Raw genomic sequence first — 23,180 nt, 5'->3', positions numbered from 1 at the left:
ATAGTCGACCAGGCGTAGTGGCTCACATCTGTAATCCCAGCACTTTGGGTGGCTGAGGTAGGCAGATCACCTAAGGTCAGGAGTTCAAGACCAGCCTGGCCAACATGGAGAAACCCCCGTCTCTACTAAAAATACAAAAAATTAGCCAGGCGTGGTGGCAGGCGCCTGTAATTCCAGCTACTCAGGAGGCTGAGGCAGGAGAATGGCTTGAACCTGGAAGGCAGAGGTTGCAGTGAGCCGAGATCGCACCATTGCACTCCAGCCTAGGCAACAAGAGCAAAACTCCGCCTCAAATAATAATAATAATAAAATAATAATAATAATAATAATAGTCTTGAGATAATCCCATGGGGACAGATAGCAGCATCACTACCCCATCTACGGAAGAGAAGATGGAGCCTCAGGGGAATCAAGTTCCAACCACAAAACTTCTCACTGTTTCAGTCGGCTTTACCCTGCACAACTGGCTAGTTGCAGAGTTTGTGGCATCTGAGCAGATAAATCTTTTTTACCGTGTGCAGGGGTTGTGTTGGTTGTTGGTTGCTGGTTGTTGTTGTTGTTGTTGTTGTTTTCAGGGTCTACTTAACTCATGGAGCATGGGACACTCTGCTGTAGCTGATTGTTACCATGCAGGAATGTAGGTCCAGGTCTTCCAATTTTTTAAGAGAATTTGGACATTTCTATTAGCACACAAGGCCTGATATTTTGATATTGGTTCATCTGGAAAAAAAAGAAATCAAAACATTGTGCGAACTAGGTACACTGGCCGTCAGTGTGAGACGTCTGCTTTAGCTCTATGTACTTGGCCTGGAGAACTCATCTCTTTTGTCTGCTTCCCTCCATCCGAATCATTTGCACTTTCTGGGGGGAATCTTGCAAATGAAAGATGGCAAGGGAAATTTGGTTTTTGTTTTTGTTTTTTTTTTAGCATCCAGAATTCCAGTGAGCTTGATAGTAGGTAGCTGGAGGGTGTGGGGGCAGGGCAAGGAAGAGCAAGGAAGGAGGGGGAGATGCCTGTGAAGGAGAGGAAATGAAAGCGCAGGAGCTGACAGCACTCTTAGTAAATATTAAACAGTAATGAAACAAAGAGTAATAGGCCACAGAAACTGCGATAAGAATGCCAGTCGTTTACTATATTTCAGCACGCAGCTGGGTACCAGAGCTTAACACATCTCTTCTGACATTGCAGACAGTTTCACTATGCTAGGAGCAAAAACCTGAGTAATAAATAAAAAGCAAATGTGTTTGCTATTGAAGAAATAAATGAATGGTAGAATGAGAATGACAAAAGAATGAAAGAGAGAAATTCTATTTCCATCATTCTAAATAGATGTTACATCTCATGACAGATAAGAGTTCATTAATTAGCAGCAAGAGATTTTGGAAATAACCATAGTATAAATGGTCTCTGCTTTGCATTTGGTAATGAAAGTGCTTTGAATGTGACGCTTTAGTAATTCAGACACAATATTTCTTAGTTTCTATTGTGTACGAAGTACCAGGCACTGTGGGGAGAGGCATGGGAAATGGTGGGTGTAATCCTTTCTTCTGAGCAGTTTACAGTCTGGTGGTATTAGATTTTCAAGAAGGACGAAGCTCCCCCCAAAAGTCCATGTGAAATCTTAAGCAGTTTCAAGCAATAAAAAAGCTATGTGCTAGATACCTTTTCCAGAAAACATATCACTTTGCATTCATCTGAACATAATTCAAACCACATTTACCAAAACTCTGGTTACTCTGTTATACAGCCACTTTGCTTTTATGTTTCTGTAAGAAAATGCAAAGAATAGCACTTTTTTGGAAACATCTTTAAGATTTTTTTTTTTTTTTTCTGAGACGGAGTCTTTCCCTCTGTCCCCCAGGCTGGAGTGCAGTGGCGCGATCTTGGCTCACTGCAACCTCTGCCTCCTGGGTTCAGGTGATTCTCCTGCCTCAGCCTCCTGAGTAGCTGAGACTACAGGCACCCGCCACCATGTCTGGCTAATTTTTGTATTTTTAGTAGAGATGGGGTTTCACCATGTTGGCCAGGATGGTCTCGATTTCCTGACCTGATGATCCACCTGGCTCAGCCTCCCAAAATGCTAGGATTACAGGCGTGAACCACGGCGCCTGGCCAAGATTTTTTTTTATAGCTTTTTTTTTTTAACGGATGAGTTCTTGCTCTGTCACCCAAGTTAGCATGTAGTGTTATAATCATAACTCACTGCAGCCTTGAACTCCTGGGTTCAAGTGATCCACTCACCTCAGCCTCCTGGGTAGCTTGTGACTACAGGCACACACCATGGCTAATTTTTTATGTTTTGTAGAGATGGGGTTTAGCCATGTTGCCCAGGCTGGTCTCGAACTCCTGGGTTCAAGCAATCCTCCTGCTTCAGCCTCATAAAGTGCTGGGATTACACGTGTGAGCCATCATGCCTGGCTATCTTAACATTTTAAACAATAAAATGCTGTTTACATTTATCCAATCTTAAGGCTCTCTGAGTCTGGGCTGTTACTGGATATGGTGATCCTTACTCCTAACCCATCCCCCTTTCTTCCCCCTCCCTTCTTTTTATATTATACTCACACTATCATGAATTGCAGACATATTTATTAAAAATGCTATCACACCTCCCTTTCCATTCTTTTCCCTTTCAATACAGCAGGCCTGTCCTCAAGTTAGGGAGTCACACCTGTCCACTTCTCAAGCCTGACAGTAGTTATCAGGAAGCACATTTCAAAAAAAAAAAAAAAAAAATACAGTGGTGGCAGTACCACCCAGTGAGAAGAATGAATTCCAAATGCTGTCAAAATAAAGACTGGTTTGATTAATGCCAGCATTCACTTTATTTTCATGGCTTCCCCTGCAGGGTCAAAAAGAGCAGCCCAGGGCCAGAGAATATGTGTTGACACTAACGGGCACCTTTTAGCAATGCACATTTTTAAAAGTAACGTCTAAGTTACTTGACATGTTATCAAGAGATTGCCTTATATCTATCAAGAAGCTTTAAGGCTCATTTTCTACCAAGACATCTCCAGTACCAAATTTTTTTCTCTCTTCTGTGACAGCTACAATATCAGTGATGTAATGCAGTATATATTTGAGCTCTCTATGACATCTGTGGAAGTCAAACCCTATTTTCCAGACAGACACAAAAATCATATGGGTTTTAATTCATTTTAAGTGGATTCTAACCTTGTATAAAAAAATTGAGAACAGGTGATCAATATTCTTAACGAATCATAAAAATTCAGAACATTCTAAAGAATAAATACCTTTAAGAAAAGTTGATGGAAAATCCTAAGCTGAAATCAAACAAGTGATTGTATTTAAAATCACTTGATTTGCCAAAATAGCTAGAAGAGAAGCTTTGGAATATTTCCAAGAAATGACAAGTGTTTGAGGTGAGGGATATCCTAAATGCCCTGATTTGATCATTACACGTTGTCTGCGTATATCAAAAGAAGCACCCCAAAAATATATACTACTATTATGTATCAATAAGAATTTTTTAAAAAAATCACTTGGTTTGCATTCTATCCCTTAATCAATCTTTGCGAATCTTGATCTCATCTATATGTTTCAGACTATTTTCTTACATCTTCTCAACCATTTTCAAAGCTATTGTGGTGCTTTTAGGAAACCAGTAAAACAATTCTTAACAATTCTTAGACTTGTGTGCAGCGAAAGAACAGAAAAATACGAGAGCTTACTTGGTCCAGCTGGACCTTCTTGTTTACTTAAATAAAAATAATAAGCTAATCTGTGTTGAAGATAGAATCCACTGAAATGTCACAAACTGACGTTGCTTTATCTTTCTCGACAGTGTTTTCTCAGAAATCCCTGCCATCTTTTTGTCAATTTACAATAGAGAATTCTTTTATTTTCTTTCTATGAAAATCAGAATTGGTAATATTTAATAAATATAATAAATGCACCTGACATAACCTTAACATTTGACATCTATATTTTAAGTCATTCAAATTACATTATGTCAACTAAAAGCCCACGTTTTATACTCCGATTCAAAAAAAATTTTAACTTTATATCATTTAGTAAATTATCTCAGGTTTTAAAAAATAATAATTATTAAGCCTAGGATGGTGTCGCATATCTGTAATGCCAGCTAAGTCTGGAGGCTGAGGCAGGAGGATCACTTGAGCCTAGAAGTTAGAGTCCAACCTGGGCAACATAGGGACACTCTCTCAAAAAAAAAAAAAAAAAAAAAAAGTGGAAGGGGAGAGAAAAAATTATTAGTTATCATTGTAAACAAATTTCTTTGACAATATCATCCTTTGCAAACTGATAGGCATTTTCAATTCGGGATCCTTGTGTATATTGAATGTGGGAGGAAAAACCGTGCAAAGCGTCCCCTCCCCCTGCTTCTGGTCCAAGATTTTCTTGTGGCTCGGTGGCTCTAGGTTACGTCCATGTGGCTCTGAGCCAAGAGAAATGCCTATGGAAAGGCTGTTCTCAACAGAGGGCTGTCTGCCTTTGTGAAAGACGAGAAGACAAAGCCTAATACAGTGCAACTTCTTTAGAACATTTTCCAGGGAACTGAACATTTTGAATGTTGTACGTGGGAAAACATGCGCCGTGAGAGCAGCACAATGACGGCATTTCACTGTACTTGCACTTGCCAGGCATTCCAGCGCGCCCTGCCTACGAGGCTAACAAATGGGCTTCAACAGGAGATAGCACAGGCTCGGGAAAGCTCTCCTACCCCACCCCCTTTTGTGCTTACACAAAACGGTCAATTATGTCCTTCTGAAACAGAGGCCAGGTCTGTTCTCAAATACCATGCTTTGGAGGAGGTATGATTACTTAAGCGAGTTCAGGTGGCCTAGAGAAAGGCAAAAAGGCAAAACAGTACCTTTACAGACTGCAAAACATCGCTAAAAGCATGAACAATCATCTCTGAAGGAAGGTAAGCACACCAGCACGCGGTAAGCATCCTCATCTCTAAAGACTGGGAGCAGGAGCTCTTTTATTTTCCCTCTTTGTGCTTTCTCTATTACATGCCATTCTGTTACATGCTATCATATCATGGTTCACATATTTGAAACCCCGTCTTCTTATTCATTTAGATTTATTTCAGATTATACAGAATCTCAGGCCACTGAGGAGCAGGTAGTGGGGCAGGCCATTCTCTTTGTCTTTCTTCCATTGTGCTGTGTAGACCCAGAGGCAGGGCTCTCCATAGAACTGGGATTGGGCAACCTCACTGTCAACTACTGGCTCCAGCCTAGTTACTTTTCTGCAGAGCTTGTTTGGTACAGCGCAGGAAATACTACTTCGCTGGGGTTTTCAGTTATCTAAGAGCATCTTGGTATTTTTCAGATTACCAAGAATCTGTGGCAATGTGACTATGACTCAACAGATAAAGCAACCAAGATAGATGACTGATGGAAACCCTGTGTTTTCTAAGCATGTATGATAAGCACTAGGAGATAAAAAAAAATTTAATCAATCAATGGAACAAGGCAGGAATGAGAAGAATGTTTCTAATTTAAAATCTAGCATAAATTTTGCCCTTAAAATCAGAGAAAATATAAAGAATCAGGAAATTTTTTAAATACAAAATTAATCAAGAAAAGTCTTGCTTAAATAGATGAGTATATGGTTTCAGACACAAATAAATGTATATATGTATGGGGTTTTCCTTTTCTGTTAGGATTAAGTAACTTTTTGGAGCAAATTTATTTAGAAGTTGATTATTCAGTTTGTGTATAAAAATCTACTTTTTATAATTTTTTTAAAAACTATAAAATGCACAAGATTAGATTTTTTTGAAAAACACAAATAATATTTTTAACTTTTCTAAATGCTAGGTTCCAGAGCATAAGTGGTCTAACAAAACTGATCAAGTCATGGTCACTGAAGTGGAGTGCTCTAAAAGGCCTCAAAGAATACAGGAATGAAAGAATGAGGCAACCAAAGGTCAAAGTCTGGATAACTTCCAACTCTCTGTCCATCAACCCCGCCTTACCACACCTCTTATGGATCGATCATTCTTCCACCATGTGATGGGTTGTATAGAGTCAGCTTTGATGCTTAACAGGCTGAAGCAGCACTATAAACAGCTGAAGGGCTGGGCGTAGTTGCTCACGCCTGTAATCCCAGCACTTTGGGAGGCCAAGGTGGGTGGATCACTTAAGGTCAAGAGTTCGAGGCCAGGCTGGCCAACATGGTGAAAGCCCGTCTCTTCTAAAAATAGAATAATTAGCTGAGTGTGGTGACATGCACATGTAGTCCCAGCTTCTTGGGAGGCTGAGGCAGGAGAATCGCTGGAACCAGGGAGGTGGAGGTTGCGGTGAGCCAAGATTGTGCCACTGCACTCCAGCTTGGGCAACAGAGCAAGACTCTGTCTCAGTAAAAAAACAAACAAACAAACAAAAAACAAAACAAGAAATGAACAAACAAAAAAACACCAAAACTGAAAGTTCAATATTTAACATTCTTGCTCTTAAAATACTCCCAGTGCTGCTGAGGACTTCTCATTGGCTACCTGTAACCTGTATCCCTACCTCCTGTTGTTCATGCCCTTTGTAATGCCCTCCCCTTCAATGTGAGCTGGGTTTTGTGAACTTGTTTCTAGCAAACACGATGGGGCAGAGGTGATGAAATGGCACCTGTAAGATTAGGTTACAAAATAACCGTGGCTTCTGTCTCAGGTGCCCTCTCTCATTTTCTCCATCTGAAGGAAGCCGGCTGCCCTTTTTTTTTTTTTCTTGAGACAGGGTCTCACTCTGTCACCCAGGCTGGAGTGCAGTGGCTCAGTCACTCTCATTGCAGCCTCGACTTCCTGAGTTCAAGTGATCATCCTGCCTCAGCCTCCCAAGTAGCTGGCACACACCATGACACCTGGCTAATTTTTGCAGACAGAGTTTCGCCATGTTGCCAAGGCTGGTCTCGAACTTCTGAGCTCAAGTGATTTGCCCGCCTCGGCTTTCCAAAGGGCTGGGATTACAGGCAGGAGCCACCGTGCCCGGCCTCAGCTGCCATGTTTTGAACTGCTCTATGGAGAGGCACACAGTGCACTCCAATACCCCTCCAAGGAACCAAATCCTGCCAACAACCATGTGAGAGAGCCTGGAATCAGATCTTCCCTCTTGAGTCTTCACATAAAACCTCAGCCCCAACTGACGGCTTGCCTGCAATCTTACGAGAGATCTTGAGCCAGAGGCACCTCGCTAAGCAGTGCCCAGATTCCTGACCCACAAAAACTGTGAAATGGTAAATATTTGTTGTTTTAAGCCACTAAATTTTAGAGTAATTTGTTATGTAGCAACAGATAATGAACACCCCAGTGTTGTTCAGTTTCAGCCTTCCAGCTTCTTCAGGCTGCCTTCTCTCACCCTTTCTCTCTCATAGCTATTCCCACCCCCACATTCCTTTTACTTCTTTTGTGCAGAAGTTTAAAACTGTCTCCTTTAGGCTGGCCCTTTTAGGCTATGCCCTATGGGTTTCTTCTCCTTCACTTTCAATGGCCTAAAAATAATAAAGAAAGGTTTCAACCTAAGTGAAACTTTAGTGTTAGCTGTTATGAGAACAATTTTTTCAACTTATATTAAGAAAGTGAGTTATCCAAAATAAATAATGTATCTCAAAAATACCTTAGCTTTTATACATTTTATAAAGTTGAGATTAAAAATCTTGATTAAATAATCAAATCCTTGAGTAATTAAACTTTTTATAGTAATTAGACAAATTATTTTCAAATATTTTATCTGGAATATTTTTATCTTTGGCCTACCATTTTATTTGGATTATTACAATATGTTTTTGTATGAGATGTATCTACATCTGAAATCCTCAACTTTCCAGACTTCTGGGCTCAGCTATAACTTCTTTTTTTTTTTTTCTTTTTTGAGACAGAGTCTCACTCTGTTGCCCAGGCTAGAGTGCAGTGGTATAATCTCGGCTCACTGCGACTGCCACCTCCTGGGTTCAAGTGATTCTCCTGCCTCAGCCTCCTGAGTAGCTGGGACTACAGGCAGCTGCCATCACACTGACCAATTTTTGTATTTCTAGTAGAGATGGGGTTTCACCATGTTGGCTAGGCTGGTCTCAAACTCCTGACCTCAGGTGATCCGTCCACCTTGGCCTCCCAAAGTGCTGGGATCATAGGCGTGAGCCATCGTGCCCAGCCAGCTCAGCTATGACTTTAACACACTAAAGAAAATGCCTTGTGCCACCCTTGTCCCATTCGTCACCTTGAAAAATGTTATATTGGAGGTAACAAATAAAATTAAAATTAGGCTTTTCCTCCTGGATGACTGGAGCACAGAAAAACCCTCACGAACTCCCCTTCCAAGGGCTGTGTGTCCCTCTCCACCTACCCCCATTTTTCCCACACTCTTCTTGTCTATCTTGCTGTTTTTCCCCCAGTTCCAAAGCTCCCAAATTCATTCTCCACCACGACATTATTTCTCCTTAATACAGGGCCTTTTGACTTGATTTTTTTTTAACTTCTCCCATCTAGGTTGTGTGATAGTAGGGAGGGGAGGGGCCTCTGGTTACAACACAAAGGAGGTCCCAGACCCATTTGTGTTTTCTTTTTCTTTCTCTCTTTTTTTTTTTTTTTTTTTTTGAGATGGAGTCTCAATCTGTCACCCAGGCTGGAGTGCAATGGCTCGGTCTTGGCTCACTGCAACCTCCACTTCCTGGGTTCAAGCAATTCTCCTGCCTCAGCCTCCCGAGTAGGTGGGACTACAGGCACCGTGCCCAGCTGTGTTTTCTTTCCCAGATGTTGTCCTCCCCTTCAGCTCAAACTTCCTTGCCACTGAAAATAACATTTTAAAAATGTTATACTAGAGTTTAAATAAAATGATTAAGTTTAAAAATCTTGATAAAATATACAACAAGAAAAGTAATTTTCTCATTGAAATACTGCTGAATTTGCTAAAAAACGAAAATTTTCAAAGTGGAGTATTTTCTTAATCCTGGCCCAAATGCTCATAAGCCTGGTTATAATCCATTTCAGGTAAAAGGTAAGAGCTGTTTTTATGTTATAATTATAAGACTCTCTTTGGGGATCAATAGTCACGTATTTGAATGTTCATTTTATGGCATGGCAAATGAATGGCAAATATTAAGAGCTTATGTCTTCTCTTTTAACATCAAAAGTATGACACTGAAACTAATCCTGGATTGTAGCCTGCTGTAAATTGTGCTTAGTCTCAGGAAGCTGGGTGAAGAGGAGACACTCAACTTCAGACATTGGTTCTAAGGAGGAACTGTAGAAGAGCTTATGGAAGACTACATAGTAATTCTAGATGACATTCAATTGTATTTTTAAAAAATAAATGTAAAGGTGGGGTGCAGTGGCTCACGCCCGTAATCCCAGCACTTTGGGAGGCCGAGGCGGGCGGATCATGAGGTCAGGAGATTGAGACCATCCTGGCTAACACAGTGAAACCCCGTCTCTACTAAAAATACAAAAAATTAGCCAGGCAAGGTGGTGGGTGCTGGTAGTCCCAGCTACTCGGGAGGCTGAGGCAGGAGAATGGCGTGAACCCTGGGAGGCAGAGTTTGCAGTGAGCCGAGATCGCGCCACTGCACTCCAGCCTGGGCGACAGAGTGAGACTCCGTCTCAAAAAAATAAAATAAAATAAAAAATAAATGTAAATATTTCTATTCCACTATGAAAATGCATTTACCCAGGAAGATAAGAAGGGTTGGTTTCTGGCTGTGCACTGGGGAAACATTCCCTCTCTGCTTCCCTCTTGGCAGCTAACTGTATCCAGTGTTTTCAAAGGGAGTTGGAAGTTTCTAGGGAAAATAACTCGAAACATGTTTGGTAAACTGGATAGGGGATAGAAAATAGGGAGTTAGTGAGGGAGAAGGGTGCTGATGAAAGAAAATTTCCACAGGTACATTTTGCTAAGTGGTAGAAAGAATTCACGAGGAGCAAAGAATAAGAATGGCATGGTGCCCTGGATTCAATAGAAGACCTGGGGGTCAGAGTAGAGGAGTTTTAAAATCAAAAGTACCTAGGCTAGGCGCGGTAGATGACAGCCTGTAATCCCAGCACTTGGGGAGGCCAAGGCAAGTGGGTCACTTGAGCCCAGGAGTTGGAGACCAGCCTGAGCAACATGGCAAAACTCTGTCTCTACTAAAAATGCAAAAATTAGCCAGGTGTGGTGGTGCATGCCTGTAGTCCCAGCTACTCGGGAGGCTGAGGAACAAGAATCACTTGAACCCAGAAGGCAGAGGTTGTAGTGAGCAGAGATTGTACCACTGCACTCCAGCCTGGGTAACAGAGCGAGACTCTGTCTCAAAAAAACAAAAACAAAATAAAAAAAGTACCTAGTGAGTCCCTAGCCAGTCAGTAGTGTGCTTGCTAAATAATTAAAAGAGTTGTCACCCAAAATTGTGTTGTTTTGTGGGGGCCCAAGAAAACCTTCTGGGGACCCTCTAAGAAAGCATCTCATAGTGGAAGGGACTTGTTTCCCTTCTCGTTGAGCCAAGGAGTCCAAGTCAGAATGGCAATACACAGAATGGAACAGTAGCCAGAAGCCTAGTGGCAGTTGAGTGATCTGGGGATCAGAGATTAGCAGAACTTCACTTTGGCCAACGGCCAATGTAGAGAAGTGCTCCACTGGCTTGATAAAACAGGTTTGAGCAGCAGCCAAGTCAAAACTTACAGAGCAGCAGCCTCGAAGAGAGCAAAGAGGGAAGCGTGGGCATCTGGGACCTCCAGAGACTTGAGCTGGTGGACGGAGGAGAGGAGACATTTGAAAGGAGGTTGATTTTTTATAGTTACAGGGGTGGGAAAGATACTAAACTAGGAAAATATTAGGATTGAATGATACAATCAGTTCATTTGCACTCACAGGCTGGGAAGTTACAATAGCCCACAGAGGGAATAGTTTCTAACTATGATCAGTTTTTCATATGGGAGAATTTCAATCGTGTAAAAATAACATTTTGAAAAACATGTTTGTTGAAGATCAAATTTAGATTTCAGTTATTAAGAACCCAAAATAATTAGCCAGATTTGGGAATCAACATTCTCTGTCGTGGATGTACAATAAGGCAAAACTTTGACACTAAACTGTAGAACTCACCTCTTCGTGAATCAGGGTAATAATTCTGTGTCATAACACTATTGTGCAGATAACAAGAAAAGTTTGGGGAAAGTGTTTAGCACAGTGTCTGGCACATAGTAAGTGTCCAATTATATTTGTTCATTGATCAGTGAAAAAGGCTTCACCAGAAAATTAAACTGGTGGGAGGAGAAAGACCACATAAAACACTAAAGCAATCTCCAAGGGCTTTTGACATCCACAACACCATGAATGAGATGACAGTTTCTTTTACAAGGCAGAATAGAGAGAAAAACATTCCGAACTGAGAATCAGGAGTGTTGGGGTTTTTTGGTTGTGGTGGTGGTTCTATTTTCAACTACCCTGGTACCTTTGGTTAACTCCTCAACTAACCTCTTCCAGTGTCAGACAGCTCATGGGAAAAATAAGGGGTTCAGTCTTAGTAATAGGTAGGGTTGCTTTTAATGATGACAACTCATGCATTTATAAGATATGACCATTATTGCTTCTATAACACTGGCTTTAAATTATCTGTTGTTTTTTAAATGTGTAGTATAGCAATTACAGGATAGAAATTATAATGTTTTGTGTATTTATTTTTAAAAACTGTGTGTCCATAGAAAAAGCCTAAGTGTTGCATCATCCCCAATTAAGTTAACTACAACTGGGGGAAGTTGGGTTGATTGGCCCGGCAGGGAATAGCACCACTATACTCTCAGCGTCATCTTACCCAAATTAGAGTTAAATGAGCCAGAGGAAGACTACAGACTCTTTTGTGAGCTGGTGTTGCAAATTCAAATACAAAAAGTAAAGTTATGATGGTCGCTGTTTAAATTTGTATTAATCATCTATGTTTTTTCAGGGAAGAATGGGGTGGGTGGCAAGGATTTAGGGGAAGCATGATGAGACCAATATTGCAGCTGATATTTATTGAATACATACCATGTAGCAGGCACTGTGGCAAGCACTTTACATCCATTATCCCAATTGACTTATAGGTAGGCACAATGATTCTCATTTCATAGAAAAGCAACCTGCCAATGTTACTCAGACGAGTTGTTGGGATTTGAAGCCAAGTCTGTGGCTCTATTCAGTGTGTTTTCCAGATTATTTCCTGAATATAGAATACATGGAAAAGACATAAAAATATGTGGTACTAGGCTGGGTGCAGTGGCTCACAACTTTGGGAGGCTGAGGTAGGAGGATATCTTGAGGCCAGGAGTTCAAGACCAGCCTGGGAAACACAGTGAGACCTTTTTTCTACAAAATGTACAAAATTTAGCCAAGTGTGGTGGTACACACCTCTAATCTCAGCTACTTGGGAGGCTGAGGCAGGAGGATCTCCTAACCCCAGGAGTTTGAGGCTATAGTGAGCTATGGTCCCACCACTGCACTCCAGCCTGGACAACAGTGAGACTCTGTCTCAAAAGAAAAAATACAGACCGGGCGCAGTGGCTCACACCTGTAATCCCAGCACTTTGGGAGGCCGAGGTGGGCGGATCACGAGGTCAGGAGATCAAGACCATCCTGGCTAACACGGTGAAACCCCATCTGTACTAAAAATGCAAAAAATTAGCCAGGTATGGTGGCACGTGCCTGTAATCCCAGCTACTCGGGAGGCTGAGGCAGGAGAATTGCTTGAACCTGGGAGGCAGAGGTTGCAGTGAGCCAAGAGCACACCACTGCACTCCAGCCTGGGCAACAGAGCGAGACTCCGTCCCAAAAAAGAAAAAATACATACATATATACACACACACACACACACATATTTAAGTACCATATATATATTTAAGTACTATACATATAGTGCTTAAAAGTATAAGGTTCACTGCTAAACGGTGGCAAAGCTTTCCAGTTTACCAAGTGTGCTTCATAATAGGATATTTGAATGTTATTATGTAATTGTAGTACATTCTGACCTGTGTTCATCTAGAGATATATCTCTGCTATATAATAAAAGCTTCTAATTTGTATCACTTTTATATCATTAAGATATATAACTTGATTCTTTCGCAAATGTTAAAACAAGATACTTTTACAGGGCCACTGCATTGGCCTCCAAGTTGTAACTGGTAAAGTGGTTATCAACTCTGAATTAGCTATTCAATTATCGAAGCGAGACAATAGCCAACATCTCATCTGTGCTGAGCAGCAAACCCTGAGTTTCATCAGAAGAGCAACTATTGATTCATAAACAATAGGGATTTTCCGTAACAAAAGGCATCTGGTGGCTCATGGAGACCACTTTTAGTCCCAGTAATGAGTTCAGTCGCTGTCACAATACTTTATGACAATTTGGGCTTAATTTTAACTGCTCTGTTAGCCTGTTGTGCAGCATGTACAAATCCACATCTAGTCAATGCCATCAATTTATTCATTGGCCCCCGTTTTCTTTCTTTTGTTTTCTCTGTGTTATTTTGGGGTACCACTACTCACTAGTCAGCCAAACTAGAAAACTGGGGGTCATTCTTACTCTTCGATACACACTCCAAATGTGTCTCCTCTGTGCCTGGCTTAGTTCAGGCCCCATCTCCACTCCCCTGGGCCACTTCAACAGTTTCCTGCTGGGCCCCAGACTCCTCGCTTTTCTTAAGCCCATTCTCCACACAGTCAGGTGTCTTCTATTTAAACCCAACACCAACCAGTGTCTGCTCGTTTAAAACCTTTCAGAGGGCCAGGTGTGGTGGCTCACGCCTGTAATTCCAGTATTTTGGGAGCCTGAGTCAGGAGGATTGCTTGAGCCCAGGAGTTCCAGACCAGCCTGGCCAACATGGTGAGACACCATCTCCTGTAGTCTCAGTTACTCTGGAGGCTGAAGTGGGAGGATCACCTGAGCCCAGGGCAGTCAAGGTTGTAGTGAGCCATGATTGAGCCCCTGCACTCCAGCCTGGGTGACACAGTGAGACTCTGCCTCAAAAGAGTAAAATAAAATAAATAAATAAGACTATAAAACCATCAGGGGTCCTCATTACCTACAGAGCAAAGCTCCAGCCTCACCTCCCAGCTCACCCTCCTAGTGATGACTCTCTAGCAATGAGGAACTTGTATTTTTGCTAGGCACAGTGCTATTGGCTGTTTCTCCCCTCCTAGCCTTTTGTTCAAGCTATGCCCTTTGCACAAAATGCCCTCACCACCCACCCCAACCTCCAGCTCCTTGTCCCTTGTCTAGATCCTAGTCATTCTCTACAACACAGTTCAAACATCGCTGCCTCAAGGAAACCCTGCCTCACCACATCATCAGCCCTCAGCTTCCGTCCCAGCCCCGGCCAAGTGATCTTCCTCTCTGTTCCCATGACTCTGGGAAATCAGGTATTTACTAAATGTATTACTACATTTATCATTACTCTTACTACATTGTATTTTCATTCTCTGTTTATGTGTTTCTTTAGAATGTTAGCTCATTTTTAAAAAAATGTAGGATGGAAAAAAGTCAACAACTTGATAGAAAAAGAGGTAAGACTAGATAGTTCATAGCATATAATGTACATGGCCCTGACGCACATGAAAGCATGTTCAATCACACTAACAAGAACAGAAGTGTAAATTACTATGTTACCATTTCTTACCTGTCATATTGAAAAAAATTAGAAAGTTTGACCACATAGTCTGTGGGTGAGGCTGTATAAAAATCGGCATTCTCAGGTATTGTGGATGAGAATACAAAATGGCATAACCATGATGGTGGCAGGGTTAGCAACATTGAGCAAAATTACATATGTGTTTTCCTTTGACCCAGGACTATCCCTTCTAGTAATCTATCCCAAAGATGTCTGCAAAAAATATAAGATGTATGCAGAAAACTACACTTTGTAGCAATCTTTGTAATAGCAAAAAAATTGGAAACAGCCCAAATGACCACTAATAGTGGACTGGTTGAATAAACTGGTAAATGCATTTTGCAGCTGTATTGAGAGAGAGAGAGAGAGAGAAAGAGAGAGAGAGAGAAATATCTTTACGTAATGCTATTGAGTGATCTCCAGATGGATTAAGAGAAAAAAGCAAGGTAAAAGATAGTATGTTCAGTATGCTGCCATTTCTTTAGGAAAGGTGAGGATATAATCATAAATACATACATATATATATGTGTGTGTGTGTGTGTGTGTGTGTGTGTGTGTGTGTGTGTGTATATATTGTTTTTGAGACAAGGTCTCACTCTGTCACCCAGGCTGGAGTGCAGTGGTATGATCACAGCTCACTGTAGTCTCAAACTCCTGGGCTCTCAAGTAATCCTCCCACCTAAGCCTCCCGAGTAGCTGGGACCATAGACACAGACCACTGTGCCCAGCTAATTTTTGTAGAGATGGGGGTCTTGCCATGTTGCCCAGACTAGTTTCAAACTCCTGGGCTCAAGGAATTCACCCATCTCGACCTCCCAAAGTGCTGGGATTACAGGTGTAAGCCACTATGCCAGGCCTTGTAGTTATATTTTTAAAAATGTTTCCTGCAAGAAAAGAAAAAAAAAAAAAGGAAGGAACAGCAGGAGGTAACAAGGATAAAAGCTGGACTTCTCTGAATATCCATTAAGGATTTTACTTTGAAACTATGTAAATATGTTACTTGTGAAATAAATTTTTAAATTTCTAAAAACTGAAACAACACAAAACAAATGAACCTAAATATGTCTTCAATTAGTGGAATAATTTTATGGAGAAGAGCTAACCTGGTTCTTCTCCCATATTTTCCCTTCCCTCCAGCCTTTGCCATCAGAATGTCTGACCCTAAGCCTACAACAGATTAAAGTTTGTAACAGTCTCAAAGGCAAAGCAGAAGCCCGCATTTCCCCTGAAGTGTTAATGGGAAGTCCTCCAACAAAAGCCAAGATCTCATTTATTTTCTGCCTTGTTTACTAAAGAATTACTTTCTTCATTTAGGTTCCTTCTTCCTTTCTCTTCTCAGCATCCTTAAAACCACAGGTGAGTGAGCAGGCTTCTCTCTTCTAGGAATGTTCAAAGTTGGGCGCCTTGGAAAATGGTAGTTTCAAAGACACAACTAGGAGCTTTTCAAAGAAAGATACTTTCAGCTAGAGATAGAGAGCCCTTGACTATAGGAACCAGAATTAATTAACAACAGAAAGAGTAGGAAAGCTTCTGAAACTGTAGCAGGCCATAGGAAGGTAAAGAAGAGCATAATGCAGGTCAGAACCAAAGAAAATGACACCAAAGATCAGTAACACAACAGCGACTGACTCTAGTTGCCCACATTGGGGAAATATATTCAGTTTCTGGTTAGGAGGGCTGAGTGGTTAAAATGAGAAGCACTCTTGTATAATACATTTGTGCATATGTGCTTATGCTGTCTAGTTATCTCAGGTCGGGTTCTCTGAAAGTGGGGGGCAAGGTGGTTATTTGGGTTCAATACCTGTGAAAGGAAAGGTGAGGAAGCAGGACTGATCAGAGGAAGAAGAAGAACTGTAAGGGCTCAACACAGCCTTGACCAACCTGGTGAGAAATGACTGGTCTTTATACCTCTACCTCATTCAGTACCTGACATAGGCTCCCCTGGAAAAGGCTTGACCTCAGACAGAGGAGGCAGCTCTCTGCAGCCAAGGCAGACCCCGAAGGTGCTGACAGCTGGACACTGTCTGCTGACAGTCCTTCCTCCAGCTGGGCTACAAGCCTTCCTTGAAAGGGAACCTACCTGAGTAGCACATCTCTTTGCCTACCATAAGCCTACTGTAAGCCTTTCCAGAGTTAATATAGTGTTTTTCTTATAATTCTCAAAATATAAAAGATATTACATTTACAGTAGACAACTCCATATATTTAATGTTGAATACAAAATTACTGTTAGAATTTATCTTCAATGGATTATCAGGTAGCCGATATATTTCTGTGCAAGCTAGAATTACTGTTCATACAATTATTCATCCCACAAACATCTATTAACTATTTATTGCATACAAGTCTCTGGAAATTGAAATATAAATAAGTATACTTTTATCATAAACTCCTAGAAGTCAGATTCTAGTGGGGAGGTCGATAAAATAGACAAATAATTGAAGTGGTGAGTTAAAAAGATACATCTAAACACAGTGCTATAGAGGTTAAAGGGACATGAAGAAGAAAGCACTTAGCTGTGTCTGCAGACATCCTCCTGGAAGAGCAGATGTGGGCCTTGGCTGTCAAAGGACAAGAAATATTTGCATAGCAACATTACAGGAAGAGCAAATTGTATGTGTAAAGGCTCAGAACAATGAGAAAGCATTGCACAGATTGAGAACCACAGGTAAATTGACATGACCAAAGCACAAGCACTATTTAAGGAGGGATTGGAATATGAGACTGGAAATATATCTATATATATTTGTGTGTGTGTAATTATCTCATTAATTTATTAATGTTATTTTTTACTGTATTTTATCTTGCCAGTGTTTGTCAAATATATTTAACCATGGTTTGTGGGGGCTTTTTGTTTTTTGCTGTAACATATTTCTGCAAGACATTCTTTTTGAAATGTTGAAAGACAGTGGTGACTGAGCCTGCCAGATTATCTGGGACATAAGCTGGAACTGGATCTAGTACCTGTGAACAAGTGTATTCTGACTTGATATTGACAAATAAGGAAAAGTTATTACTGGATGCAAGTTCTGGGAAGACTATAGCAGTATCTGTCTCTGCTCTTGGAGATTGGAATGCAGAACTCTGCAAGGAGGAACATTCTATCTCCCTGTCATAAAGAGTCATTAGCAACCACCTGGTGCAGGTCACAAGCAGGGAGAGGAAAGACTGCAGAGTCTTTCGTTCTTTCTGGTGCAGCTTAACTGATTTGAAGAAGCCGAAGAAGAAAATCCAGTAGCACGGTTAAGACTTTAGCCATGGCATCTGTATCATACCAAAAGCCAACATCTACTACTGTGGGAAAACAAATGATTTTTACAGGTAAATAGTTTTTGTGTTTGCTTTCACAAGGAGATCTAAATTTGCTTTTTCTCTCACATATATGATTTTTATATAATGGATATAACAATGCAATGATCACATATGTTTTTTGTTTTTGTTTGTTTTTTGGGTTTTTTTTTTTGAGACAGAGTCTCGCTCTGTCGCCCAGGCTAGAGTACAATGGCGCGATCTCGGCTCACTGCAACCTCCGCCACCTGGGTTCAAGAGATTCTCCAGCCTCAGCTTCCTGAGTAGCTGGGATTACAGGCATCTGCCATCATGCCCAGCTAATTTTTGTATTTTTGTAAAGATGAGGGTTTCACCATGTTGGCCAGGCTGGCCTTGAACTCCTGACCTCAGGTGATCTGCCTGCATAGGCCTCCCAAAGTGCTGGGATTACAGGCATCAGCCACCATGCCCAACCCACCTACATTTAATTTACATGATACTGCTATCTCATTATGCCCACTCAGTCTGATCATCATCATCTTGTTGCCATAAACATGTCTTTAACACAGCAGTTGTCACTATATCTGAGGTAACTTTCACAAAGGAATATTTGAATTAGCATAGCTTTTATGGTTTGTGCAAGAGAAACTTCTTTGATGTAATAAAAAACATACTTTTCATCGAATTTTTATTAACACTGATTTAAGCTTCTCATAACATTATAAACTTGACATATTTGCTTGATAAAAATTTGAGCAGGATATGCATTAAACCTAGTAAAGTGATTGGTTTGAGTTTTGTTCATTCAGCTTACTTTAAATGATTTGGGCAGTGTGTGTGAAATTATAATAATATCTAAAAAATAGAAGATGACTAGTTGTGGTAAGTCTATAAGGCATAAACTAAACTTCATTTTATTTCCTTTTTTTCCAAATTATTTATTTTTTGAGACAGAGTCTCGCCCTGTTGCCCAGACTAGGGTGCAATGGCACGATCTGGGCTCTCTGCACCCTCCACCTCCCAGGTTCAAGTGTTTCTCCTGCCTCAGTCTCCCGAGTAGCTAGGACTATAGGCACATGCCACCACATGTGGTTGTTTATTTATTTATTTATTTTGTACTTTTAGTAGAAATGGGGTTTCACCATGTTGGCTAGGCTGGTCTCGAACTCCTGACCTCAAGTGATCCACCCACCTGTGTCGGGATTCCAGGCGTGAACCTGGCCTTTTTTTCTTTTTTTCCAAAGTGTGAGCATATTTTACAATGTTACAGAAAAATAATCAAATGCATATTTATGGTGGGCATTTATGATTTGTGTTGCTCATCATCCATCTCATCCACTCCCCTTCTTGTGACTCACTTGGCTTTGGGAAAAACATCTCTTTCCTCACTCTTACCTCTTTTTTACTCCTGTGAGAAGGACTTTGTCAACAAGAGTACACTGCTTATCTGCAATTCCTTTTGCCTTTATTCTTATAAACTCTATTCATTTCCAAAGTTACTTAAGTCTGCACATTTTCTTTCTAGCCTCTTCAGTAAGGTTGTTTTATGCACTTGTAATACAGTTAGATTTTCTTGTCACAGTCTGAATTCCTTCCTGAAATCCTACAATCTCGTAAATAATTTTTTTTAATTTGCATCCATTAAGGTTTGCTTTTTATGCTATTAAATATATGGGGGTCTTGACAAATTAATAGGACCATGTATTCACCATTATAGTACCATACGTTATGGTTTCACCACTTAAAAAATCTCTTGTGCTTCACCTATTCATTCCCCCCTCCCCCTTTCCCCCTAGCTCCTGGCAACCACTGATCTTTTCACTGTCTCCACAGTTTTGCCTTTTCTTGAATGTCACAGAGCTGGAGTTATACAGTATGTAGTCTTTTCAGATTGGCTTCATTTCCTCATCAATATCATTTTAAGGCTTCTCCACATCTTTTCATGGTTTGATAGCTTATTTCTTTTTACCACTGAATAATATTTCACTGTGTGGATGTGTCACAATTTGTTCATCCCTTCCCCTATCGAAAGACATCTTGGTGGCTTCCAGTTTTTGGCAATTGTGAGAAATGCTTCTATGTACATTTATGTGCAGCCTTTTGCATGGATATGTTTTCAAATCAATTTGGTAAATACCTAGGAGAGTAATTGCTGGATCCTGTGTTAAGCCAAACTGTCTTCTAAACTAGCTATACTATTTTGCATGTCCATCAGCAATGAATGAGAGTCCTTGTTGCTTTGTGTCCTTGTCAGCCTTTGGTATTGTCTGTTTTTGACTTTTTTACCAAAAAAAAAAAAAAAGAAAGGTCATTTAGATTTTTATCCTGTGTTTTCTTTTAGACATTTTACAATGTTACGTTTTCATTTAGGTCTATAATCTATTTTGAAGAGATTTTTGTGCCTTTTAAAGTTTTAATTTTCATCAGCCAATAAATCTCCTCTTTTCCTTAGCCAGTTTGGGTTGGGTTTTCTGTCATTTGGAACTGTGCAAGAGTCTTAATTAACACTTAAAATTTCTTCTAACTTACACCAGTGTATATACTTAGTTTTATGTATTTACATAGTTCAAATTGTTGTCACCTTTGATAGATTTCTGCCTTTCATTATACTGACATATAATACTTAGCTTCACAGCCTCCTGTATTTTATAATTTCCTAATTTTTACTGTTACAAATTTGTATGAATACTTTGCATAAATTATTTTTCTTGTTCTCTTATTTTCATGTGGTATATATAGAGAGAGCAGAATTAGCAGGTGAAAGATACAAACAGATATATAACTTATTAATGCCACAAGCTTTAGAGAATTGTATATACTATGAACAATGTATACGTATTTAAAGCCCAACAATTTTTTTTTTTGAGACAGTCTCCCTCTGTTGCTCAGGCTGGAGTGCAGTGGTATGATCTCAGCTCACTGCAGTCTCTCCCTCCAGGGTTCAAGTGATTCTCGTGCCTCAGCCTCCTAAGTAGCTGGAATTACAGACGTGAGCCACCATGCCCACTAATTTTTTGTATTTTTAGTAGAGATGGGGTTTCACCATGTTGGCCAGGCTGGTCTCAAACTCCTGACCTCCGGTGATCTGCCCGCCTCAGCCTCCCAAAGTGCTGGGATTACAGGCATGAGCCACCACAACCGGCCCCCATCAATATTTTTTAAAATCATTTTTATTACTTCAAAGAAGTAGATATGAATCCTTTTTTGCTTTTGCCTTTTACAAATTTTATTGTGACTATTTTAAAACACACGCCAATGAACTCCCACTTACCTGTCACCCATATTCAACATTTATCAAAATTTTGCCACATTTGACTCACATCTCTCGTATTTTTCTTGTAAAAATATTTTAAGCCCAGATATCATATTATTTCACTTACATATTTTATTGTGCATCTGAAAAAATATGAACATATTCTTACATAGTCACATTGCCGTGACTGCACCTAACAAAATTAATAACTATCATTTGGCATCATGTAATTAACAACTCCATAACAAAATTTTCCTGATTGTCTCTAAAATGTATTTTTACAGTTGATTTTGAGAATAAGGATCCAACACACATTGCATTCAGTTGTGTTTTCTCTTTTTGTCTATTTTAAACTGGTGCAGTCTTCCCTTCTTTTTTCCCTGCCATTTACTTGTTGCAGAAACTGGATCAGTTATGCAGCAGAAATGTCCAACGTTCCGAATTTGTCAATTACTTCCTTCTCATATCATTTAACTTGTTCCTTTATTCTCTGTAAACTGAATTTGGCTCTAGAGGCTTGATTATAGCCAAGTTCAACTCTTTAGGGATGCTTATGTCTTAGATGGTACTGCAGTCAGTTCACAGAAATCAAACTTTTGAGCTGTTCAAGAATAATAATTTTAACTCCTATAAGGCCCATCACTTACCACCTTTCTAACCTATTGGAGCTTGGAGCTCTTTCCTCCATGTTTGGAACTGTTTTTAATATAAAGTCCGTGTTTTCATAAAAACATTAGTTTAAGTGAAGTACCCAGGCTAGGCAAACAAAAGATTGATTTAATCCATGCAAATATTGTGTAATTGTGATAAAAACAAGAAAAATATCTTGTCACTATTAATAATTAATATGACAACAAAATATCATGAGAAATCATTTAGAAATTATTTTGGATGTCAATAATGTAAAAAAAACCATGTAGAGGATGAGAAAATACTGAGGAATTTCGCAGCAATTCTGAGAGTTACTTTAGAGCACTTTTAAGAGTTTCATAGGATTTTTATTGATTTCTAATTTAATTTTAAAGTGAAATTTTGGCTGGACGTGGTGGCTCACACCCTGTGATCCCAGCACCTGGGAGGCCGAGGCAGGTGGATCACTTAAGGTCAGGGGTTTGAGACCAGCCTGACCAACATGGTGAAGCCCCATCTCTACTAAAAATACAAAAATTAGCTGGGAGTGGTGGCATACCCGTGTAATCCCAGCTACTCAAGAGGCTGAGGCATGAGAATTGCTTGAACTCAGAAGGCAGAGGTTGCAGTGAGCCAAGATTGCACCATGGCACTCCAGCCTGGGCAACAGAGTGATACTCTGTCTCAAATAAATAAATAAATAAATAAATAAATAAATAAATAAATAAATAAATAAAATTTTGCTTTCTCTTGGCATAGGCATAACACTACTCTTTTTTTTTTCTTTTGAGGGAGGGTCTCACTCTGTCACCCAGGCTAGAGTGCAGTGGCACGATTATGGCTTACTGCAGCCTTGACCTCCCTGGGCTCAGGTGATCCTCCCACCTCAGCCTCCCAAGTGGCTGGGACTATAGGTGTGTACCATCACTCCTGGTTAATTTTTGTATTTTTGTAGAGATGAGGTTTCACCATATTGCCCAGGCTGGTCTTGAACTCCTGGGCTCAAGAGATCTGCCCACTTCGGCCTCCCAAAGTGCTGGGATTGCAGGCATGAGCCACCGCACCCAGCCAACACTATTCTTTTATTTGTCATTTATAACTACAGTTATTTTAATTTTCATTTTAAAAAATTTCCACTGATGCTTCATTATTCTATGTGATGATTCACAGTATATATCTAGCTGGTATACTCGACCACTTAACTAATGTGATCACTCATCAAGTCTTATTTTTCTATCAAATTTTGATATATTTCCTTTTAAAATACATTTTTGATGCTAATTTTTTATCCTACATATTTGAAATCCAATTTAACAAATTGAGTGCCAATTAAGTACTAAAAACTTGTCCATTAGCATTGGAGGATACAAAAATATACATGAAAAAAATGTTCTCTTTTCTAGAAGCTTATAATCTATTGGATAACCAGAACATAATAG

The 23,180-nt window shown here is 40.1% G+C and overlaps 1 protein-coding gene across 5 annotated transcripts in view; it reads left to right on the top strand.

The window, feature by feature from the left end:
- SPMIP2 (sperm microtubule inner protein 2) overlaps positions 1 to 23,180 on the top strand; it is a 189,752-nt gene that overhangs the window by 29,944 nt on the left and 136,628 nt on the right. The window contains exons 1-4 of one of the 5 annotated variants that reach the window (XM_047449676.1): positions 10,621 to 10,729; positions 14,201 to 14,340; positions 15,726 to 15,944; positions 17,400 to 17,909. The exons of 2 other annotated variants lie outside the window; for them this stretch is intronic. In XM_047449676.1, coding sequence (XP_047305632.1) covers positions 17,846 to 17,909 — 64 coding nt within the window. In that variant the 5' untranslated portion in view covers positions 10,621 to 10,729; positions 14,201 to 14,340; positions 15,726 to 15,944; positions 17,400 to 17,845. Of the gene's footprint in view, positions 1 to 10,620; positions 10,730 to 14,200; positions 14,341 to 15,725; positions 15,945 to 17,399; positions 17,910 to 23,180 lie in introns of those variants that run through there. 2 more of the 5 variants (XM_017007809.2, NM_152543.3) reach the window with 2 other exon arrangements.

Source organism: Homo sapiens, chromosome 4 (genome assembly GCF_000001405.40).
Source record: "Homo sapiens chromosome 4, GRCh38.p14 Primary Assembly".
Taxonomy (NCBI): Eukaryota; Metazoa; Chordata; class Mammalia; order Primates; family Hominidae; genus Homo; species Homo sapiens.
The sequence above is the reverse complement of the archived record's forward strand: the minus strand, read 5'-3'. Positions and strand labels throughout refer to the sequence as shown.